The sequence below is a fragment of the Homo sapiens genome, chromosome 12 (assembly GCF_000001405.40).
Source record: "Homo sapiens chromosome 12, GRCh38.p14 Primary Assembly".
NCBI lineage: Eukaryota > Metazoa > Chordata > Mammalia > Primates > Hominidae > Homo > Homo sapiens.
In genome coordinates, this window is record NC_000012.12 from 32966083 (window position 1) to 32989234 (window position 23152).

At 39.6% G+C, this 23152-nt stretch overlaps 1 pseudogene; it reads left to right on the plus strand.

The window, feature by feature from the left end:
• ASS1P14 (argininosuccinate synthetase 1 pseudogene 14) lies at positions 19656-21219 on the plus strand (annotated as a pseudogene).

Sequence of the window (23152 nt, forward strand, 5' to 3'; positions counted from 1 at the left end):
TCACGGCTCACTGCAGCCTTGACCTCCTGGGACCAAGTGATCCTCCTGCCTCAGCCTCCCAAGTAGCTGGGACTACAGGTGCGTGCCACCATCAGCTAATTTTTGTATTTTTTGTAGAAATGATGTTTTGCCATGTTGCCTAGGCTGGTCTCAAACTCCTGAGCTCAGGCAATCCACCCATCTCAGCCTTCCAAAATGCTGAGATTACAGGCATGAGCCCCTGTGCCTCGCTTCATTTTTCATTCCTGTTTCACCATGAAAAACTTTTTTCTTTTTTTTTTTTAAGAGTAATTTAATGGTTTCCTACTCCCCCAAACAAATTTTAGGAAGACCTGCCCTAAATTCATCTGTTATACCTAAGAAAAGCATTTCTCACTTAATTAAGCAATGTGTATACAACCAGATAACAATGGATTAACATGCTATGGCATATTCTTCTGTGACAGATTATTGAACAGACTCACTGATTTAGCTGCATGTACCAGGAGATTACTAGAAACTTGGACCTCTTGTGATGTGAGGGCAACTGAGCAAGCTCCATTGTGAAGACACTATCCCCTCATGAATATGAAATGTAGGTACTGACCAGTTGTGTGCTTAACATGGTGGGATACAGTCTTGTCCTTAGTTTGCTCATATTCTCATTGGAAAGGGCAGTTTTACACATATGAAAAGTGAAATATCAACATAATTAAAGATTGAATTGAATTCTAAATGTGTTCCGCAGGCAAAAGTCTGTCAGACTTCAGAAAAGGGAGAGATTAGTGGATTGGTTAGAAGGCTTCAGTAGTAGGTGAAATTTGGATTAACTTTGAAGAATTGCTTAAGATTTCCAGAGGCTGAATTGGACTATGAACTCAGTAGTTCTCATTCCTCTGCCCCCAAATCCCTCTCCCCGATTATCTTAGTGATGACTTGAGACATGATATATTGAATTATAGAGTATGCCATCAGATAATCCAGACATTCCCATACTGTCCCACTCATCTCTTGTAATCTAACAAAATATTTGCTCCATCTAAAAATGGCATATACACTAATTCCTGAAAAGAATGAAGAAAAAGGCAGAAAAATAGTGTAGGGGAAAAAGTTTAAAGCAGTTTTGCTGCTTCTTTGAAGGTAATCCTTTGTAGGTTTCTATATTTCAACTACAGCATAACAAAAATTGGTACTATTTCAAGCCATATGGATTTATAAAATCTTTTGCTATTTCTTTATTACACAATTAATTCATTGTTCATTATACAAAAAATGGAAAATAAAAATAACATAATTAAAAAATGAAACAAAAATGTAAAAATTTTAAGGCCAGGCATGGTGGCTCATGTCTGTAATCCCAGCACTTTGGGAGGCTGAGGTGGGAGGATTGCTTGAGGCCAGGAGTTCAAGACCAGCCTGGACAACACAGCGAGACCCTGTCTCTATTATATTAAAAAAAGAGTAAAAGTTATACGCCCCAAGATAAACAGCAAACACATAGAAAATTATACATACAATTATAAATTATTCCATGTATTCGGATATATAGCCATATCAACCTATATATGGAAAGCTACATAATATATATGAAATATATATATCTATATTTGATCTGTATGTATTTTAAAAAATGGGATCGTTGTGTTTATGCTGTACTGAAACCTCATTTTTTTTATACAACAGTATTAGTCTACTTTAATATGTATCTATTTTTTATCCATGATTTGTTGAGCCCATCCCCTATTGTTAGATTTTTATTATTTTATTTTTCTTAGATGGAGTCTTGCTCTTTTGCCTAGAGTGGAGTACAGTGGTGTAATCTTGGCTCACTGCAACCTCCACCCCCTGGGTTCAAGCAATTCTCCTGCCTCGGCCTCCTGAGGAGTGGGGATTACAGGCATCTGCCACCACGCCCGGCTAATTTTCGTATTTTTAGTAGAAACAGCCTTCCCCCATGTTGGCCAGGCTGGTCTCGGACTCCTGACCTCAGGTGATCCAACTGCCTCAGCCTCCCAAAGTGCTAGGATTACAGGTGTGAGCCACCGTGCCTGGCCTACTGTTAGATTTTTAGATTGTTTATTTTATAGATTTGACAAATGCATATTTTTGAATAAGTAATTCAAACAATGGAATTATAACTGAGTTCTTAAAATGAAAATCATCCAAGATATAAAAAGCATTATCGTTATTATTTTTGTTGCTTACCAGTATTGGTGCTATGATATGACAGACCAGCAGTCAAGACACTGTGACACACTAAGAGTTTCCCAAGTTATGTCGACTCATTTCTCAAGTGTGTTTTATAGTAAAAACAAGCAATACCCAAACTGAATCAGGATTATTTTATTTTCAGTCTAGTTTAGAAAAAGCAGTATTTCTTTATCTTTCATTTATTTATGTGGAGGGAGTAAAACTCCTTTTGGAAACCAACGATTGACACTTTATCCTCTTTGGGCACTTAAAATATTCTGATTGCACCTGTGTCTCAGTTACTGGCATGGAATCAGTCATATGCAGGGAAACTTTGACTGTTTTTGTTATTATTTTTAAGCTCCCCCTGTGCCAGAGAGAGAGAGAGACAGGAAGAAAGTACAATACACCGATATAACAGCGGTTCTCAACTCTTGGTGCACATTAAAAACATCTGGAAACTTTAACAAATACTCTTACTCAGGCTCCTTAGGAGAAGCTGATTTAATTGGTCAGAGGTGGAGTCTAGGCATCACCATTTTAAAGACGTTCCAGGTTTCCAGGTGATTTTAATGAACAAACAGTTTGAGGACCACTACTGTAGAGAAACCAGTTATATATATAGAGAGACACTAGAAATGACTTTTAATTTTCCCTCAGTAGTAAGAAAGAAGCAATTTCAGAACAAATAGAATAACATAATGTTTTGCTTTACAATCTAAGGAGTAAATCCATAGAATGCACCATTCAGAAAGGTGGTGCAGGGAGAAAACAGAATAGGTTCCATGGGGTACAGACAAAATGATGTGTTATAGATTGTTTGGAAGGAAGTTGGGGTTATTTAGAATGCATGTTTAGCCTTTGGGTTTGAAATCACGAAAACGATTACATTTTTCTCTTCCAAATGTCCTTTTGATTCAGAGTTACACACAATATCAAGCGGAGAGAATCACTAATTTTAGTCGTATGGAAACTTATAATATTGCGTATCCTTTGTGGTCTTATCACAGGATTCTTGAGTTGAAAAGAGCCTCTGGAGTAATGGAATTCATGCTTCTCTTATACTTTTTTCCCCCAACTTAAAAATTATGGAAAAATTTACATAACATAAAATGTGTCATCTTAACCATTTAAAATTCCATGTATGCTTTTGAATTCCTGCTATGACATCCACAGTAAATAGTATATATCTTTTGTTTACACTTCTAGTGACAGGGAAATCATTACCTCACATTTAAGGAACATCTCTAGTTGTTAGAAAATTCTTTCTCTATTCATAAAAATGTGATGTCTTATAATGTCCACCCCTTCTTTCTCTGTAGCTATCTGAAGAGAAAAAATATTTGTAGAGGTAATTGCTCCAAGTAAATCAAATAAAGGAATTAGCGATTCTTTTCTGTGTAGATGAAAAGTATAAACACAGTAAAATTACAAAACACTGTAAACTTTCTTGTGAAAACTTTCATGTGAAATGAGGTATTCTAATTAATCATATTTTAAGTTAATTCTAATTAATCATATTTTAAGTTAATCAGAGTATACAGTTGTCCGTTGGTATCTGAAAGGGATTGGTTTCGGAACCTCCCATGGACACCAAAATCCATGGATGCTCGAGGCCCTGATGTAAAATAGGCCTTGCATATTTGCATAAACCTCTGCACATTCTCCTGTATACTTTAAATCATCTCTAGATTACTTATAATATCTAATCCAATATAAATGCTTTGTAAATAGTTGTTATATTGTATCATTTAGGGAATAATGACAAGGAAAAAAGCCTGTACATGTTATAGTACAGATGCAACCATCCATTTTTTTTCGAAGTATTTTCCACCTGAGCTTGGTTGAATCATGGATGCAGAACCCATGGCTATGGAAGGCTGACTATAATTCAACTTAGTAAATCATGAGTGCCTCTGAGGTACAGAAATATAAAGAAATGTGAAACAAATAACGACAAATAAGTGAATTTTTAGTTGTTTGAACTATTTTCAAACTAGAGCAAGCTCTCTCAATCAGAGAACTAGCATTTATACTTGAATTTCTCAGATCAATATATTTACCAGTGCCTTAGGCAAAAATACAAAAAGCACATTTATCAAATGTACAGATAACATAAATCTGGGGATAGGATGAGAATGTGGGCAAATGCTGATTGCAGTGCTGTAATGTGCCTAAATGGAGCCTAAGATGAAAGGAAAAATGTGTGCTCCAAATTTTTGGTAAAATTTGGAAGATATTTTATGAAAATATCTTCCCATATTATAAACCAAATGGAAAACGAAAATCTTGACAATAAATGCCATGACTACATATAAAACTTCACTTTGTCCAGTATGTTTGCATGTCATTGCCAGCCCTCATAAACACACTGGGACAGGGGCAGGGAGCCTCGATGGCCCCTGGGAACTGTAGGTGGCTTGGAAACTATTCCCGCTGCACAATAGTGCTGGCTCATAAAGTAAACAAATGAACAAGAATAGTCTACTTTCGCTTAAAATTTTGATGTTTTATTTAACGTAGATTTTTGGCATTGATTTTGAGTTTTTAAAAGATTGCCTTCAAATATTAGTTGTCTTGATTCCTGAGAGCTTAAATTTTGTGCTTGAGGTGAGTGCCTTACTTGCCTCACCCTAATCCCAGCCCTGGGATATTACATTGAATAATGATTCATTTAAATATTAGTCAGCTACTATGAATGAAAGTAGACTAACAAGATGAAATTTCTTTGGGATAAAAGTAAATGTAAACATTTAGCAAACTGACTTAATACATTCGGGTTTGGGAATTTATGGTTTAGCATCAGTTCATGTGAAAAGGATTTAGGAGCTTCAGTTGACTGTAGGCTCACTGTGTGCTACCAGTGTCACATAGTTATTTAAACACTAATGAAATTTATTCTGCAAAGAATAAGAAATTACAAGGCAACTTTATTCTTCACTGATCACGCCATTGGAGAACTTGTAGGTTCTGATTTAAAGGCAGACTTTGACTAAGTAAGGCATGTTCCAGGGACTAACATGAGGGAATCTGGAAATTATGTCATATGAGGAATAGGAGGAAAGGGAAACATTAATTCTGGGAAGAGAAGCTTAAAAGAAGAGAAGAGGATATAGATGTGTAACCTCCATGACAGTTATAGTTCAAATAGAGGTTGAGTTATGTGGAGGAAAGTTGTGCTTTGGCTGAGAGGGTGAATTAGATAATTTCTAATTTTTTTTTTCCATTTTAATGATTCTATTACTCTGTGCCAAAAAATTATTTAGTGATCCACTTTGGAATGAACATCCTTTTATCTGCTTTGATCTTGGAGGTTCATTTACTGACCCACCTACCCATTCCTGCTCTCCTACTCAATTAAGATGGATTAAAACTAGAATAATTTCATTTGCAATGAAAGCTATTAGTCTGAGCAGATTGTCTCCATGATAATCTAATTGCATAGGTGCAAATGACTTTGCATAAATGAGCATTTGACAGACCGTTTCTTTTCTTTTTTTTCCCTGAGACAGAGTCTTGCTCTGTTGCCCAGGCTGGAGTACAGTGGTGCATTCTTGGCTCACTGCAACCTCTGCCTCCCGGGTTCAAACAATTCTCGTGCTTCAGCCTCCTGAATAGCTGGGATTATAGGCCTATGCCACCACGCCCAGCTAATTTTTCTATTTTTAGTAGAGATGGGGTTTTGTCATGTTGCGCAGGCTGGTCTCCAATTCCTGGCCTTAAGTGATCCATCTGCCTCAGCCTTTTCAAGTGTTGGGATTATAGGCATGAGCCACCGCGGCTGGCCTGACAGACCATTTCCTATCATTTTTTGTGCAGAGTATAAACAGTAGCATTTTAGATGAAACTTCAGTATTAGGTTTTTAACTTTGATTATATTCTTCTTAGCAAGGAAAGGGCAAGTTGTAATTTTACCTTCTAGAGAAATATAAGTAAGAAAGCACGGTCAGTAAAGTATCATTTATCTATTTAAAATAAGCATACTTCTTTATTTAGTTCAGTGACAAAATGATAGATGATATATATGTACATCAGGTACTGAGATAATAAAAAGCTCCAAGAAGCTGAAGTATTACATACTTAAGTAATGGTATTTCATGGGATTAAGCCCTTTCCAAAATTAACATCTCCTTTCATCTACATTTATTTCCAAGCTATCTCCTCTGATAGCTTACTGTATTTTTTTTTTTTTTTGAGACAAGGTCTTGCTCTGTTGTCCAGGTTGGAGTCCAATAGTGCAAATGACAGCTCTCTGCATCCTCAAGTTCCTAAGCTCAAGTAGTCCTCCCACTTCAGCCTTGGGAGTAGCTAGTACCTTAGGCGTGTGCCACCTTTTTTTGTTTTTGTTGTAGTTGTAGTGACAGGATCTTACCATGTTGCCCAGGCTGGTCTTAAACCTCTGGGCTCAAGTGATCCTCCTGCCTTGGCATCCCAAAGTGCTGGGATTACAGGCATGAGCTGCTGCACCCAGCCCTGTTTCTTATTATACCTAAATATTTAAAATAATTTACTTTTCTCATATTACATAAAGTAATTAAAGTATTTAATAAATCCTGAAAATTTCCCTTAGAAAGGCAAAAACCATTCATATTGAATAATGAAAACCTTAATTACTTATGAACACTATAACTCACTTATAAGTACTATTTTTAATGGAGCGCTGATCTTATGATTTATCATCCTTCAGGCTATTGCTAATGTTTATCTCTATGTAGAATTGCAAAACTGTGAAAGACCATAAAGAGCTGAGTGTAAACTCATTACCCCTGCTTCAAAAACCATTCATTTATTCAAAAGGTATTTGTGAGGTACCCACTTTGTGCTAGACACTGTGCTTGGTGATGGCCTGAATTGTGAACAAAGTGGACAAAGTTACTCTCATCATGAAGCTTGGGGGATAGATGATAAAAAGTTAACACATAAGTGAATAAATAATGGAATTCCAGGCATTGATAAGTGTTGTAAAAATAATGTAGGAAAGTGATAGGTCAAAGGTAATCTAATTTAGAGAAGTAGAAAGATCTTTAGACGAGGTCCCATTTCAGCAAAGACCTGAATTAGATGAGCTAAGGAAAAGTAAAAAGATCTGAGAGAGGGATGTGGTGGCCACATTCTGAGATGACACCAGTGGTCCTTGCCTCCTGGTATTTACATCCCTATGGAATTCCCTTCCACACTGCATCAGGATTAGTTTGTGTGACTGGCAGAATACAGTGGAAGTTGTGGTGTCCACATTCTGAGGTTAGGACATAAAGAACATTGCCATTTCCCCTTTGATCTCCTGGGACATTGTCTGGGGGAAGCGAGCTGCCAAATCATGAGGACACTCAAGCAATTCTATGGAGGTGATGGAACTGAGGCCTCCTGCCAACAGCCAGTACCAACTTGCCACCTGTGTGAGTGAGGCATCTTGGAGGCTCCCCAGTCAAGCCTTCAGATGATGGCTGCCCTGGGTGCATCTTTCTGCAACCTCATCAAAGATCCTAAGCCAGAGCACCCAGCTAATCCCCTCCCGAAATTCTGACCAAAGGGAACTTGGGGATAATAAAAGTTTATTTTTTAAATAATGAAGTTTTGGGATATGTTGTTATGCAGAAATACGTAACTAATAAAAGGAGAAATCTCAAGAGTAAAATATTTCAGAGAAGAACAAGCTTGGCATGTCTGAGGCATGACAAAAAAAGGCAGAGTGGCTGGATATTTGTTGGGAGGGTGAGAGTGGCTGGAGATTTCTATTCATGACCCGCTTTGTTAAATAATAGAGGATAACCAAAAGTTCATAAGTACTCAGCACATACTGTATGTTCACAGTTCTTTAATTTATCTTCTTGGCTTTTATAATTTATAGTAAATCGTGTATTTAAAAAAATCTTCATTAGAAATCTATGTACAGGATCGGATGAGGTGGCTCACGCCTGTAATCCTAGCACCTTGGGAGGCCAAGGCAGGCAGATCACTTGAGGTCAGGAGTTCAAGACCAGCTTGGCCAACATAGTGAAACCTTGTCTCTACTAAAAATTAAAAAATTAGCTGAGCAAGGTGGCGGGTGCCTGTAATCCCATCTATTGGGAAGGCTGAAGCAGAAGAAATGCTTGAACCCAGGAGGCGGAGATTGCAGTGAGCCAAGATTGTGCCACTGCGCTCCAGCCTGCGTGACAGAGTGAGACTCCGTCTCAAAAAAAGAAACCTATGTACAATGTAAAATATTGTATTTTAGCTGTGGTCAGGTTACTGAACTTTTCAGCAGACACGTAATACATTTTTTCTAAAACAGGATGCTTTGGATAGATTAGCCATCCTAAAGCATGACAAAGCAACTTAAATCCTCCAAGGATTAATATTATATTGAGTGAAAAATAGATATTTAAAAGAAGGCCATGTAGTAATATTTGGTTACCACTAATGATCAGACACAGATGGAGTCTTTGAGGATAAAATAAAAACACAGCAAATGATTTTTTTTTTTTTTTTTGAGATGGAGTTTCGTTCTTGTTGCCCAGGCTGGAGTGCAATGGCACGGTCTCGGCTCACCACAACCTCCGCCTCCCTGGTTCAAGCAATTCTCCTGCCTCAGCCTCCCGAGTAGCTGGGATTACAGGCACACACCACCATGGCTTGTATTTTTAGTAGAGATGGGGTTTCTCCATGTTGGCCAGGCTGGTCTCGAACTCCTGACCTCAGGTGATCTGCCCGCCTCAGCCTCCCAAAGTGCTGGGATTTATAGGTGTGAGCCACTGTGCCTGGCCTGATTTTTTATGAAAAAGGGAATCTTTGTGCTTTTTGATTCATAATTAAGCCAAATTTTCTTGTAGAAAATAGGTCATTGTTAAAATAGAGTTTTGGATCAAGCCAATGTCTGTGGGAGATAAGAATAATTAGAAAATTAATTTTCATATATTAGGGTTTTGTTTATATCTAATAATCCATCATTTATTACCCAGGGAGTAAAAACAACTCCTCAAAGCAGTATTTTTCCGGCTTTTCTTACATCTCTATGGGAACACTAATCCTGCTTTAAATGTTTCACAAAGAATCTTGGGCGTTTCCTCTAGAAGTTGTTGCTCAGGTTCTCCATGAATTAGCCCTTTGATTACCACCAGTTCCATTTTCCTACTCTGGCTCAGATGGAGATCCTCTTGTGAACCCAGTAAGCAGCTCTTTGCTGATGCTTGCTGATTGCTCCGCTGGTGATATTACTGATGATCCATGAAGCTTATTCCAAGGAATACAATGTTCAGAATTGAGACTGCTGATGTTTGCTCCAGGATTAATGAATAATATCAAATATCCTTGTTAAGATGCCACCTCTTCTGTTGAGAGCCACCAATGTCTCCACCAAGTTTGCTATCCGATGTCAAGAATCCTATGTTTGTACAGAAGGCGTTATCTCTTGTTGCTGTTGCAGTCCCAGCATCCAATGTAGCTAGAACCTTTTATTACTGATGTCTAGATGGAAATTTAGTGAAAAGTGTCTTTTGAGCATTTCTAGATTTGTAATTACAATTACCTCAATCTAGTAGTCAGTCATAGGTCCATGGAAAGCTGGCCTGGATGATAATTTGAGTGATCAACTCATCAACACTCAGAATCATTGTCTCTAAGCAAAATATTGTGCCTTGAGTCTCTTTTGTCTTATGAACAATTTTTTTGGAGGTGTCTCCAAAACCTCATATAAACAGACTCGTTGCTAATCTATCTTGCAGCTTTCTTTTATTCCTTATGTTGATAACAGGTAGTCAGACATCTTCAGCAAGATTGATCCCCCTTCTTTTGTACTTTTCTCATGTACTTCATTACCAAATCCTATGTGCATTCTCCCAAAAAATTTCTTTTCTATACAGCCCTGCTTTTCCAATTCTACTGCACTGCCTAGTTTAGGACTTCATCATATTCACAGACACCGGCAGTTTCAAAGTGTGGTCTGCAGATCTCATGGTGCCCAAAACACTTACAGGGAGTACCAAACCTATTTTTACAATAATATGAAAAAAAATGTCTTTTTCACTCTGTTGACATTTGTACTAATGATGCAAAGCAATGGTGCATAAAAATGCTGATCCTGAGCGCAAATTAAGAGAATGCTACCAAACTGTATGTGAGCAGCTATTTGATTTGATTTGATTTTTTTTGAGACGGAGTCTCACTCACTCTGTCGCCCAGGCTGGAGTGCAGTGGTGCCCTCTTGGCTCACTGCAACCCCCTCTTGGGTTCAAGCAATTCTCATGCCTCAGCTTCTCCAGTAGCTGGGATTACAGATGTGCACTATCATGCCCAACTAATTTTTGTATTTTTAGTAGAGGTGGAGTGTCACCATGTTGGCCAGGCTGGTCTCCAACTCCTGACCTCAAGTGATCTGCCCGCCTCAGCCTCCCAAAGTGCTGGGATTACAGGCATGAGCCACCGCACCCAGCCCAATTTTATTCTTCATTGCCACACACTTACAGTAAAGAAAATGAGTTTCACTTAAGAATGGCTTTGATGGAGCAGTACAAATTATTTATTTTACTAAATCGCTAATTTTACTAATCTTACTAAAATTATTAATTTTATTGAATCCTGTGAGTACACATTTTTTGGTCTCATTTTTTAATTTTAAGTTCCTCAAATGATTTCAACACTTATATCCAAATGAGAGCCCCTGGTTTCCTGTATTTTTTTTTTAAAGGGAGCAATAACACAAAAATAAAAACTGTGATGTTTAATCATAATTTTATATGATTCATTATAATTTGTATGATTAAAATTCAGTTGCAGTTAAAATTAAGTTAAGATCTTAGATTTCCCCAAAGTATCATGAAAATTAATATATTGGTAAAAAATAAAACACTGGAAAATAGATGGTGGTATGTATGGGTATTTATAAATATATATATGTATTTTTTATTTTATTTTTCACCTTTAATCTCTTTTACTGGGCAAAGATAAATTATGAGTGGTATTTTCTAGTATGTGTTAATTTGTTCTCCAGGATTGAAAAGCATCATTTTATACTTTTATTTTACTCCCCCTTTTTTTTTGAGATGGAGTCTCACTCTGTTGTCCAGGCTCGAGTGCAGAGGCATGATTGGCTCACTGCAACCTCCACCTCCCAGGTTCAAATAATTCTCATGCCTCAGCCTCCCAAGTAGCTGGCATGTGCCACCACACCTGTCTAAATTTTGTATTTTTTAGTAGAGGTGGGGTTTTGCCATGTTAGCCAGGCTGGTCTTGAACTCCTGGCCTCAGGTGATCTGCCTGTCTCAGCCTCCCAAAGTGCTGGGATCACAGGCACGAGCCACTGCACCCGGCCCATTTTACACATATTTTTAATATTCTATGTGACAAAATAGGAAATATGCATACCTTTTGCTGCGAACCAAAATATGATGGTTGTATTGACAAAAAGTGCTGTGTGATTGATTTGTGAGCTGAACTGCTTCTCCATGAACCATTTTTACTTGAAAAATGCTGATAGACCAACTATGGTTGTTCAAATTTGATTATTTGGTGGACATTTTCTCAAAAAGTGAACAAAGCAAGCCTGTTACTTTAAAAAACACAACTGACAGTATTTGCTGCCAATGATAAATTCTGAGCTTTCAAATTTTAGGAATTTTGGAAATTTGTATGTGGCACTGTGAGCTTGACAGCCTCTTAATACTTACAGATTTTTCTGGTAAAGTCAGTGGTAATATTAACAAAAGTGTGGCAGAGTCAGGATCCACACCCAGGCATTCCAACTCTAGAGTCTGTGCTCTTAGAGAGTTTACGGTTCTTCCTTCCCAGGCTTTTCTACAGAACAAATGAGGTCCAAGCCCCTCAGCATGGCACTGACAGTCTTTGCATACAAAAATTTTTCCTTTCATGCTTAGCTGGTTTCCTTATTGAGCCTCCCGTTCTCCCCAAGTTTAATTGTTGTGTGCTATTCCCAGAAAAAGGAAGTTGACTCTCAGAAACTAGAACGTGAATGTCTTACTACTGTGAAACATAGGCAGCATTAGATGAGGAGTAGGAAAGCTGACTGAGGGATAAGAAGAAGGAATGAATGGGTGATGCTGATTAGCAGAAAAATCTCTGGGGAACTTGGTGAGCACCTGGGAATGCAAATGTGTCTGTATATTTAAGTCATATTAGGTAGAAGGTAAGCTGCTGGTTTTGGCAGTCTACAAGAATGAAAGGAAATAGTGAGTCCTGGATTTAGGTAGATAGAGATTGATTTGACAGACGATCCTGAAAGCAGGCAGACAATTTGGATGGCAGGAATCAGAACCCTGACTGGTCAATGCTGTAGTTTGGATATAGTTTGTTTGTCCCCACCAAATCTCATGTTGTGATCCCACCCCCAGTGCTGGAGGTGGGGCCTAATGGAAGGTGTTTTGGTCATGGGGGGCGGATCCCTCATGAATAGATTAGTGTCCTTCCTGGGGGTGAGTTCTCGCTCTATCAGAGATATTTTGTGTAAATACAATCCAAATGCATTCATAATTTCCCCCATCCTAGTTTTTTAAAACTGAAATATTTTACATATTGGTTTTGTATCTTAATTTTTTCTTTTAATATTATGCTTTTGAAATATTTCCATATCAGTGCATGAAGAACCCCCTTATTAGTTTTCATGGCTGCATAATTTTACAATATATAGGCATTCCTCACCATGCCCAATTGGTCCTAACAATTTTTTTTTTTTGTTTTTTTGAGAGGGAGTCTCACTCTGTCACCCAGGCTGGAGTGCAGTGGCGTGATCTCCGCTCACTGCAAGTTCCGCCTCCAGGGTTCATGCCATTATCCTGCCTCAGCCTCCCGAGTAGCTGGGACTACAGGCACCTGCCACCACGCCCACCAAATTTTTTGTATTTTTAGTAGAGATGGGGTTTCACCGTTTTAGCCAGGATGGTCTCGATCTGCTGACCTCGTGATCCACCCGCCTCGGCCTCCCAAAGTGCTGGGATTACAGGTGTGAACCACCGCGCCCAGCTGGTCCTAAACATTTTTTTAAACCTAGCTGTCAATGATAGTACTATGGACAAGATGGCCAATTGGGCTTTCCTATTGCTGGATAATTAGTCTGAAACTAGACTTTTTGTTTGGTGGCAATTTTTTGCCTCCCTTAATTTCTCAGTGATTGCACTTTATACAACAGGGGCTCCATCACAGGTTTATGCACACAATTAATAGTATTAATACTCTTCATGGCTGGGCACAGTGGCTCATGCCTATAATCCCAGCACTTTGGGAGGCTGAGGTGGATGGATCACTTGAGGTCAGGAGTTCGAGGCCATCCTGGCCAACATGGTGAAACCCCATCTCTAGCAAAAAATAAAAAAATTAGCCAGTTGTGGTGGTGTATGCTTGTAGTTCTAGCTGCTCAGGAGGCTGAGGTGGGAGAATCGTTTGAACCTGGGAAGTGGAGGCTGCAGTAAGTTGAGATCACGCCACTGCACTCCAGCCTGGGTGACAGAGTGAGACCCTGTCTCAAAAAAAAAATACTATTAATAATCACCCTGTTTATTATCTGACTTATTTTACATTGTTCATAACACAACCTTTTTGCTTTTTTATTCCAGGTGCTGAACGTGTCCTCCAAGGGTTTCAAGGTTATCGTATGCCCTGAAATTGGGCAAGGAGCTTTAAGAGGGAACTTTGAGTTTGCCAGAGAAAACTCAAGATGTTTCTACATGAAGAAAATGGTTTCAGACATTTGACTTCTTTAATTTTTGCATACTCTTTGTGATGGTTGTTAGCAAAGACCTAGAGTGGTTGTATGGCTATTTGCAAAGGCTGAGTGTGACTTGATATTGGCTCAACTTGAAAACTTTGATATTTGATGTTTGTATTCAAAATTGGAAACAAAGGTGTTTAAAAGGATGATATATGATTATGGGGTGGCATATAAGACTTTGCAGAACTTACCTGCACACTTATATATTTTCTGCCAAAATAGTTGTTTGTTTTGATGTTAACCTGTGCTTGTCATGTTTATCTCCATACCTTCTTTGGTTTAAAGTTTATTCTAATTAAAACCCTAATTAGTAATATTTGTATTTACTGGTAGCTTAGCTGTCTGAGTGTAATCTCATTTTGTTTGTTAATTGGTTTGCATTATTAGCTCATTTTAAATTGCCAAGAAAAATCCTGAAGACAAGTGAACATAATTAAATTGGAGCATGGGTCACTTCTTACTGCCTCTTTTTCCAGTGAGCAGAGAATTTCTATAAACAAAAACAAGGTCTACTTTAAAGAGAAATAAATAAGGTTTGTATTTTAAGTAAGGATAAATCCTATTGTATTTAAGATGATAGTTGTGAGATTTGATTGTTGTGAAATTTGATTGTTATGAAATATGAGAAGGTAAAACTGAGACTTATTTGAAGATTCATGCAATAATTTTCTTATTTGAGCAACATTTAAGACTTCATAGGGGGCGCCTTTTGGTAAAGAAGCAGAAACTTTGGAGTTAGATAGACCTGGGTTGGGGCTTGGATTTGACATTTACTGTCTGTGAGATCTTGGTTAAGTTACAGGCTGAGTATCCCTTATCCAAAATGCTTGTGACCACAAGCGTTTTGGACGTCAGATTTTTTCAGTTTGGAATATTTGCATATACATTATGAGCTATCTCAGGGATGGAACCCAAATCTGATCACAAAATTTATTTATATTTCCTATATATCTTATACACATGGTCTGCAGGTAATTTTAGATAATATTTTAAAATAATTTTGTGCATGAAACAGAGTTTTGACTGTAACCTGTCACATGAGGCCAAGTGTGAAATTTTCCACTTGTGACATAATGCCAGTGCTCAAAAGATTTCAAATTTTGGAGAATTTCAGATTTGAAATTTTTGGATTAGGGATGCTCAACCAGTATTACTCTTTCTAAGCCTCAGTTTTCTCATCTTTAAAATGGATATAATAGCAGCTGTTTAATAGTACGTTGTTAGAATTAAATGAAATAGTGTATGTCAGGTAGCTCACACACCTTAGGCACTTAAAGAACACAGTTTAGTTTTCCTTCTAGTCTTTAGATGATTCAGGGAGCATAATTAGAAGTTATAAACAACAACAAAACTCCACCTGTGAAATCTTTCTCTCTGTACGTCACTTAGGTAAACATAGCCAGATTTTCTGCAGAGAAGCATAAACAGTCTTTATTGTCAGTTTGATTGTCGACTTATCATAAAACAAACACAATAGTCTGAATTTAAGAAATAGGGGCTTTAAATAGGCGGTGAGTAAATAGGCTGTGAGCAAGAAAGTTTTGACTATCACTATACAAAAAACACTTGATGTGCAGATTTGCCTAACACATTTTTTAAAAATTATAGAAATGTAATTCTGTATTTTCACAACTAAATTAATCTTTTCCCCTTCTGGTTAATTGGGGAATTATTTTTTACCTAGAATAATAAAACATATGATATGATCAAGTTCAATAATTTACTCTTCAAATTGATGAAACAGTTCTTCAAATAGTCTCACATAATTACACTGCACATTTGAAAAGTATTCATTTCTTATAATATATTTAAATCAATGGTTAAAAATGAGCACACAGACAGAATATGCCAACAAATTTTGCTTTCCAGGGTGGCGGTGGAGAAGAGATGGGAGGTAGGAGGGAGAAGGGGAATTGAGAGGTAGCTAAATCCCTAGATCAATGAAAGTAATTAAACAATCTTGAAAAATTTGATAAATAATTAGTGCTAACAAACTCAATAGAAATCAAAACTAGTTAATACACTTAAAGACGAAAAGAATCTCACAGACAAATAAAAGATAGAGAATGGCCATTTATTTATTCAACAAATATTTATTTAGTGACTATGATGTAAAAAATAGAGCTATAAACTAAAGAATATGTGGGCTAATTGAAAAAAATGTATTTATGGTAGAAAGAATTGAAGTCAAATATTTTATTCAGTTTACAAATGAAAGCCTCATAGATGTAGCTAAAATTACCATCCTAATTATTGTAAAAGTTACTACTTTTGAAATGAAAAAATATAAAAACATGACAACTTTTCCCCTCTCATTCAACTCCATTTTTCATAGTACCTTTTGTGCCTATCCTTTCCAATCTTTTCCTAATTTTATACAGACCCAGTGAAAGATACATTACACACACATATATACATGTACATTCTCGTTACCAATTTTCTGTATTCGTTCTTACACTGTTATAAAGAACTACTTGAGACTGGGTAATTTAGAAAGAAAAGAAGTTTAATTGACTCACAGTTCCACAGGCTGTACAGGAGACTGTGGAGGCCTCAGGAAACTTATACAATCATGGCGGAAGGTGAAGGGGAAGCAAGCATGCCTTCAAATGGTGGCAAGGGAGAGAGAGAGAAAGAGAGAGAGAGAGAGAGAGAGAGAGAGAGAGAGAGAGAGAGAGAGAAAGGGGAGGTGCTACACGGTTTCAAACAACCAGATCTCATGAGAACTCTATCAAAGGACAGCACTAGGGGGATGGTCCTAAACCATCAGAAACCACCTCCATAATCCAATCACCTCCCACCAGGCCCCACCTCCAACACTGAGGATCACAATTCAACATGAGATTTGGGTGGGGACACAGAGCCAAAGCATATCATATACCTTACTTCACAAAAATTAAATCATGCTATAATATTCTATAATAATAGCTTTGTAATTAATGTTATTATATTCATGGGCTAGTGTCCTAGGAAAAAATGCTAGGTTATAGGGAATGCACATTTTATAATTTCATGGACAAATTACCTTCCCATAGGTTATATTAATTTAGATGAGGAGACTTCCAGGTTGCCAAATACTCCTGCTAGCATTGGATACTACCTTCTTAAATCTCCCCATTCCCGTTGGCAAAAATTATAAAGGTTTAAACTTTTTAGGTAGCCAAATCTGTTAGATTTTTCTTTACTAATTCTAGGTTTCCAATTTTACTTAGCCTTCCCCTCACCCTGCATCAAACAGTTGTAAAGTATTGTCCTATCTGTACCTATTAATATTTTAAAAGATATATTGCTTACACTGAGCCTTAATATTTTGTTTCATATATGTTGAGAGATTATGAATTCACTTAAATGACTTCTGAATTCATAACTAGTTGTCCTAATACCTGACAGAGCAGGAGCATCTCCATCTTGGACAAGCCTCTCATTCTAAAGTTCACCTTAATAAAAAAATCGCCTAAATCCAAAGGGCACCAGCCTAATGGCTAAGGTCAGTACGACCATAAACCACAAATAACATCTTCAACCAGAAACATTCCAAACTCCTCCCCGACCAGAGACATGCTAGCCTCGAGATAACCCACCTCCGGCCGGGAAGATGCCAGCCCCGAGATAACCCCTCTCCAAGCCAGAAAGATGTTTGCCCCAAGATAACCTCCCTTCCTCCCAGAGACATTCCAACCCCGCGATAAAACTTCTCCCTCACATAGAAACATTCCAACCTTGTAATAAGCCCCCTCACCCTAAAACCAATAGATACTCTTGGTCTGTAAGAGAAAGCGCTCCTGATTGAAACTGGCCAGAAGCCCCTCTCATTTTTTATTTAAAGTAAACCTGTCTTTAACTGCCAGCTGCATTTTGTGTTTCTTTCCTCTTTAACTCTTACAATACTATTTATTGAACCATACATGGTCCTTTTTGATGTAAGAGTTAAAAAGAAATTGTTTAGGCAGATAGGGTAAGGAAGTCCTCGGTAAGGTTTTCCTTTTAATGAAAAGCAGCCCCCAATCATTTCTTTTCTAACAAAGAGCAGCCTTTAAAATCAAGCTGCAGACATAGATAAGCAAGCTGGAAGCTTGCACGGGGGAATGCCAGTAGCTGTGCCAACAGGAAAAGGCTACCTGGGGGCTAGGCATGTTCAACCTGGTGGCTCCATCTTTTCTTTTCTTTGTCAACCACAGGTACAATAAGGAGCAGGCAACCTGGCGCCTGCCAGATAGAGATTCCATCTGCATAATAAGAGTAGGGTGGGATGGTCAGCTTCTTCCTGCGCTATGTAAATGGCACACCTAGTCTAGCCAATCTCTGGGCCCTATGTAAATCAGACACCGCCTCCTCAAGCTCCTCTATGAAACCCCATGCATTTCACCACTGAACAGGAAGATCCACTGAAGGCCCCCTCTCTTCCTGTAGGAGAGAGAGCTATTCTCTTTTTGCTTTCTGTTGCTTATTAAACCTCCGCTCTTTCTTTTTTTCTTTTTTTTCCTTTTTTTCTTTTTTGAGACAGAGTCTCACTCTGTAGCCCAAGCTGGAGTGCAGTGGTGCGATCTTGGCTCACTGCAACCTCCGCCTTCTGGGCTCAAGCGATTCTCGTGCCTCAGCCTCCAAGTAGCTGGGACTACACGCTACATTTTAGTTTTGTTCCCTCACTTGGCATTTGTGTCCTTTTTTCTCTCAGTCTCCTCCCTCATCTCTCCCTTTACCTCATTTTCAGGGTGTATGTGTCTGTGTACACTCATACACAGTGCCTGTATCTCGTGGTAATAGGGTGGGGTGCCTGTGTCTTTGTCTTTCTGTAACTTTCTGAATGTTTATATCTTTTTCTGTTACTGACTCTAATTTTCTCCATTTTTCTCTTTCTCTCCTTCTGTCTCTTTCCAGATAAATGCTACCTGAAGTTACTTGTTGTCTGTCACAGCCACATCCAAAGGACAAACCAAGTAACTAAGTATTCCACAACACAGTCACTGAAACATAAACCCAACCACTGCATTCATAACTCTGTAGGCAGCCCTGCTCTTGACCACATAGATCCTTTATGCTTTTATCATCAAAACTTTAGAGAACAACTTCAACTACGGTTTTGAAAAAGTGTTAATGCATTGATTATTAATAGAGATTTGGGGCAAAAAACACTTACCTCTTCATCATTTTTGCCTCCTTCTTACTGGAAATAGAATTGGGACCAGCATTTAACAACAGGTAGAAAAAGTGAATAGTCCTGGGTCAGACTTTCCAGATATCATTCAGACAATCTTGAAGAGATTTGGGAAGTCTCAATACCTCACATTTTTTAGAGTTTTGACAGAGCAGAGACCTATTTTTCAGTGTGAAATCAAGGCCGAATAGCCTGGAAAAGGAGATGATGGTAGAACTTGCATTTCATCTTCCTTCTTTGTGGAAAGGATGAAAAACTATCAGTGATATTTCCAGTCTCAGTTGCAGGGAGGGGTCTGGACATGAATCAGGTCCTGCTGATGAGAAGTCCTTGAACAGAGTGGGGAGGCAGAAGAAGAGGGGGCTGTCTTCCTGACAGGCGTGCTCTGGCTGCAGGTTGACATGGCTGGCCTCAGCCTTTCCCTTTCTAGGCTCCAGCTTTGTGGGTGTGAGGCTTTCAGGGATGTGGCTGCAGCAGTGGGAGCAGAAGCTCCAAAACTCTGAATACCAGCTAACTGGTGTGACTTTGATACAGTAGTGGCTGCCTGACTTAGTTTGTTCCATATGCTTGGGATAGGCCTGCTTTCTACCCATTGCACCAGTCCTCTTCACTCTCAAACCTGCTCTTAGTGGCCCTGCTCTGTCGCCTGCCACCGCTGCTGGGGCCTGAGTGGTTCACTGCATCGTGAAGACAGATTCCAGACGCTGGGAACAAGCGCCTCCAATCCCAGACGCTATGTCCAGAAAAGGCTCTGTGGTTCTGGCCTACAGTGGTGGCCTGGACACCTCCTGCATCCTCCTGTAGCTGAAGGAACAAGGCTATGATGTCATTGCCTACCTGGCCAACATTAGCCAGAAGGAAGATTTCAAGGAAACCAGGAAGAAGCATTGAAGCTTGGGGCCAAAAAGGTGTTCATTGAGGATGTCAGCAGGGAGTTTGTGGAGGAGTTCATCTGGCCAGCCATCCAGTTCAGCGCACTGCATGAGGACCGCTACCTCCTGGGCACTTCTCTCACCAGGCCCTGCATCGCCTGCAAACAAGTGGAAATTGCCCACCGGGAGGGGGCCAAGTATGTGTCCCATGGCGTCACGGGAAAGGGGAGCGATCAGGTCCAGTTTGAGCTCAACTGCTACTCGCTGGCTCCCCAGATAAAGGTCATTGCTCCCTGGAGCATGCCTGAGTTCTACAACCGGTTCAAGGGCCACAACGACCTGATGGAATACGCAAAGCACCACGGGATTCCCATCCTGGTCACTCCCAAGAACCTGTGGAGCATGAACAAGAACCTCATGCACATCAGCTACGAGGCTGGAATCCTGGAGAATCCCAAGAACCAAGCGCCTCCAGGTCTCTACGCGAAGACCCAGGACCCGGCCCCCAACACCCCTGACATTCTCGAGATTGAGTTAAAAAAGGGGTCCCCGTGAAGGTGACTGACATCAAGGATGGCTCCACCTACCAGACCTCCTTGGAGCTCTTCATGTACCTGAACGAAGTCGCGGGCAAACACGGCGTGGGCCGTACTGACATCGTGGAGAACCGCTTTATTGGAATGAAGTCTCGAGGTATCTAGGAGGCCCCGGCAGGCACCATCCTTTACCACGCTCATTTAGACATCAAGGCCTTCACCATGGACTGGGAAGTGCACAAAATCAAACAAGGCCTGGGCTTGAAATTTGCTGAGCTGGTATATACCGGTTTCTGGCACAGCACTGAGTGTGAATTTGCCTGCCACTGCTTCGCCAAGTCCCAGGAGCCAGTGGAAGGGAAAGTGCAGGTGTCTGTCTTCAAGGGCCAGGTGTACATCCTCGGCCGGTAGTCCCCACTGTCTCTCTACAATGAAAAGCTGGTGAGCGTGAACATGCAGGGTGATTATGAGCCAATTGATGCTACTGGTTTCATCAACATCAGTTCCCTCAGGCTGAAGGAATATCATCATCTCCAGAGCAAGGTCACTGCCAAATAGACCCCTGTGCAATGAGGAGCTGGGGCCTCCTCAATATGCAGAGCCCCCAAGTACAGGTGCTAATTGTTGTGACAATTTGTAATTGTGACTTGTTCTCCCCGGCTGGCAGCGTAGTGGGGCTGCCAGGCCCCAGCTTTGTTTCCTGGTCCCCTTGAAGCCTGCAAACGTCATCGTTGAAGGGAAGGGTGTGGGTCAGCTGCAGTGGGGAGCTATAAAATGACAATTAAAAGATAACAACTCCCCCCCGCAAAAAATGCTTAATTTGGACAGTAAACTTAGTAACCCTATCTCTAATTCTTCCAACGTAAGTACCTAATTACCGGCATTTAAATTCTTTCTGTTTGAAACACCTAGAGTAGTTACTGTTTCCTTTATTGAATGCCAGCTGATGTCAAAGGCAGACAAAACCAGATGGTGGTTAAAGGTGATAAAGACAGATTTTGTTCAGTACTCTTGTAATAGGGGAGAATAGCCAATGTAACCTGAGCTCAACTCTGCTGCAACAAAAGGTGGGGCACTTTTTAAATACTGGGGTGTGCTGAAGAAAAGACACTGATGAGTGTTAAGGGGCATATGGTCTGTGTCACTAGGTTATCTAGGTTTGCTACTTGGTGCTTATCTGGAGGAGAAACAAACTTCTTACATCTTTATGACAGGGGAAGTTGTGCAAGCTGGGGCAAGGGGCTGCAGATGTTATGCCCTTACCTTCACACTGAGAGGAAGAGTTATCTTCCTAATGTTTGCATTTCAGAGAGATGGCTCCCAGGTCCTTGAGGAGACAGTTTTGCGTGATAGAAGATTTATATCTCAAGGGCAGAGAAAGGATTTATAATTGCAAGCTTTCGCAGGCAGACATTTTAAGAGGGAGCTGAGGTCATCTTAGGGACGAAATCTTAATCTGCTAGAAGTCATACTAGGGTTTGGTCAAGAACAGAGTCTGTCATGAATGTACCTGAGATCATGAGATTTTGCTTGAATTACTTTGGGAATATACCATACCTCACAAGGCATGGTATATAGAACTTGATTTCAGCAGTCATCTTTTTTGAAAATGACTACCAGAGAATCAGTGTGACCCAATTTCCAAGACCAAGAGGCACCTGGAGTGAGAAGCTTTGGTGTACATATTTACAAATATAAAACAGTCTTTTCTTTTTGTGTTGCTAGGAATAGCCTTTTCTATTTGTAATAAAAACAGCTGTTCTTTTTCTACTGGGTTTTGAAAAGATATTTACTTCAATCTTTTTTTTTTTGAGACAGAGTCTTGCTGGACTCTGGAGCGCAGTGGTACCATCTCGGCTTACTGCAACCTCTGCCTCCCTGGTTCAAGCGATTCTCTTACTTTAGCCTCCTGAGTAGCTGGGATTACAGGCACGTGCCACCATACCTGGCTGATTTTTGTATTTTTAGTAGCGATGGGGTTTCACCATGTTGGCCAGGCTGATCTTGAACTCCTGGCCTCAAGTGATCCACCTGCTTTGGCCTCCCAAAATGTTGGGATTACAGGCATGAGCCACTGTGCTGGCCTACTTTAATCTTTATCACCTCAATTTCTACTCATCCACATCCATTCCAACCAAGTAGAGAAGCAGCCAAGAATGATTAAAATATTATAGCTTGTGAATATAATGCAGACTGTGCAGGATCTTGTTTGTGACCTGAAGATTGAAAAGGGACCTAAGGCACTGCTGACCCTGGGACTAAGCCTCCACATTAAGCTTCCTGGCATTCTTTCTGAGTTTGGCCTGCTGGAGCTGGCCGATCCTGTGTGCATTTCTGATCAACCATCAATATTTCAAGGCCAAGAATTTGGAGATAGAGGTGAGGTTTATTCCAAATCTCTAAACCATTTCCACTTAATACTCATTATTGTAGAAGGAAAAATTTATTTGTTCTCTGAAAGAGGCACAAAGCACATTTGATTATACCACTTTTCCTGACACTTATTTTACTAGTAGATCTGTTTTTAAAAATAGAAAGCAAATTATTATGCCTGAGTGACTTCAAAGCATTCCCATCATTCCAATTAGCAACCATGTTGCTCCCATGGAGGAGAGAGAGGGGCTGAGGGTATGTGGGAGTGAAAAAGAGACAGGTAGGAGGAGAGAAAGCGTCAAAGAAATGACAAGGAAGGGCAAGTTGCCAGGAGCTCAGTGGTTTGAAA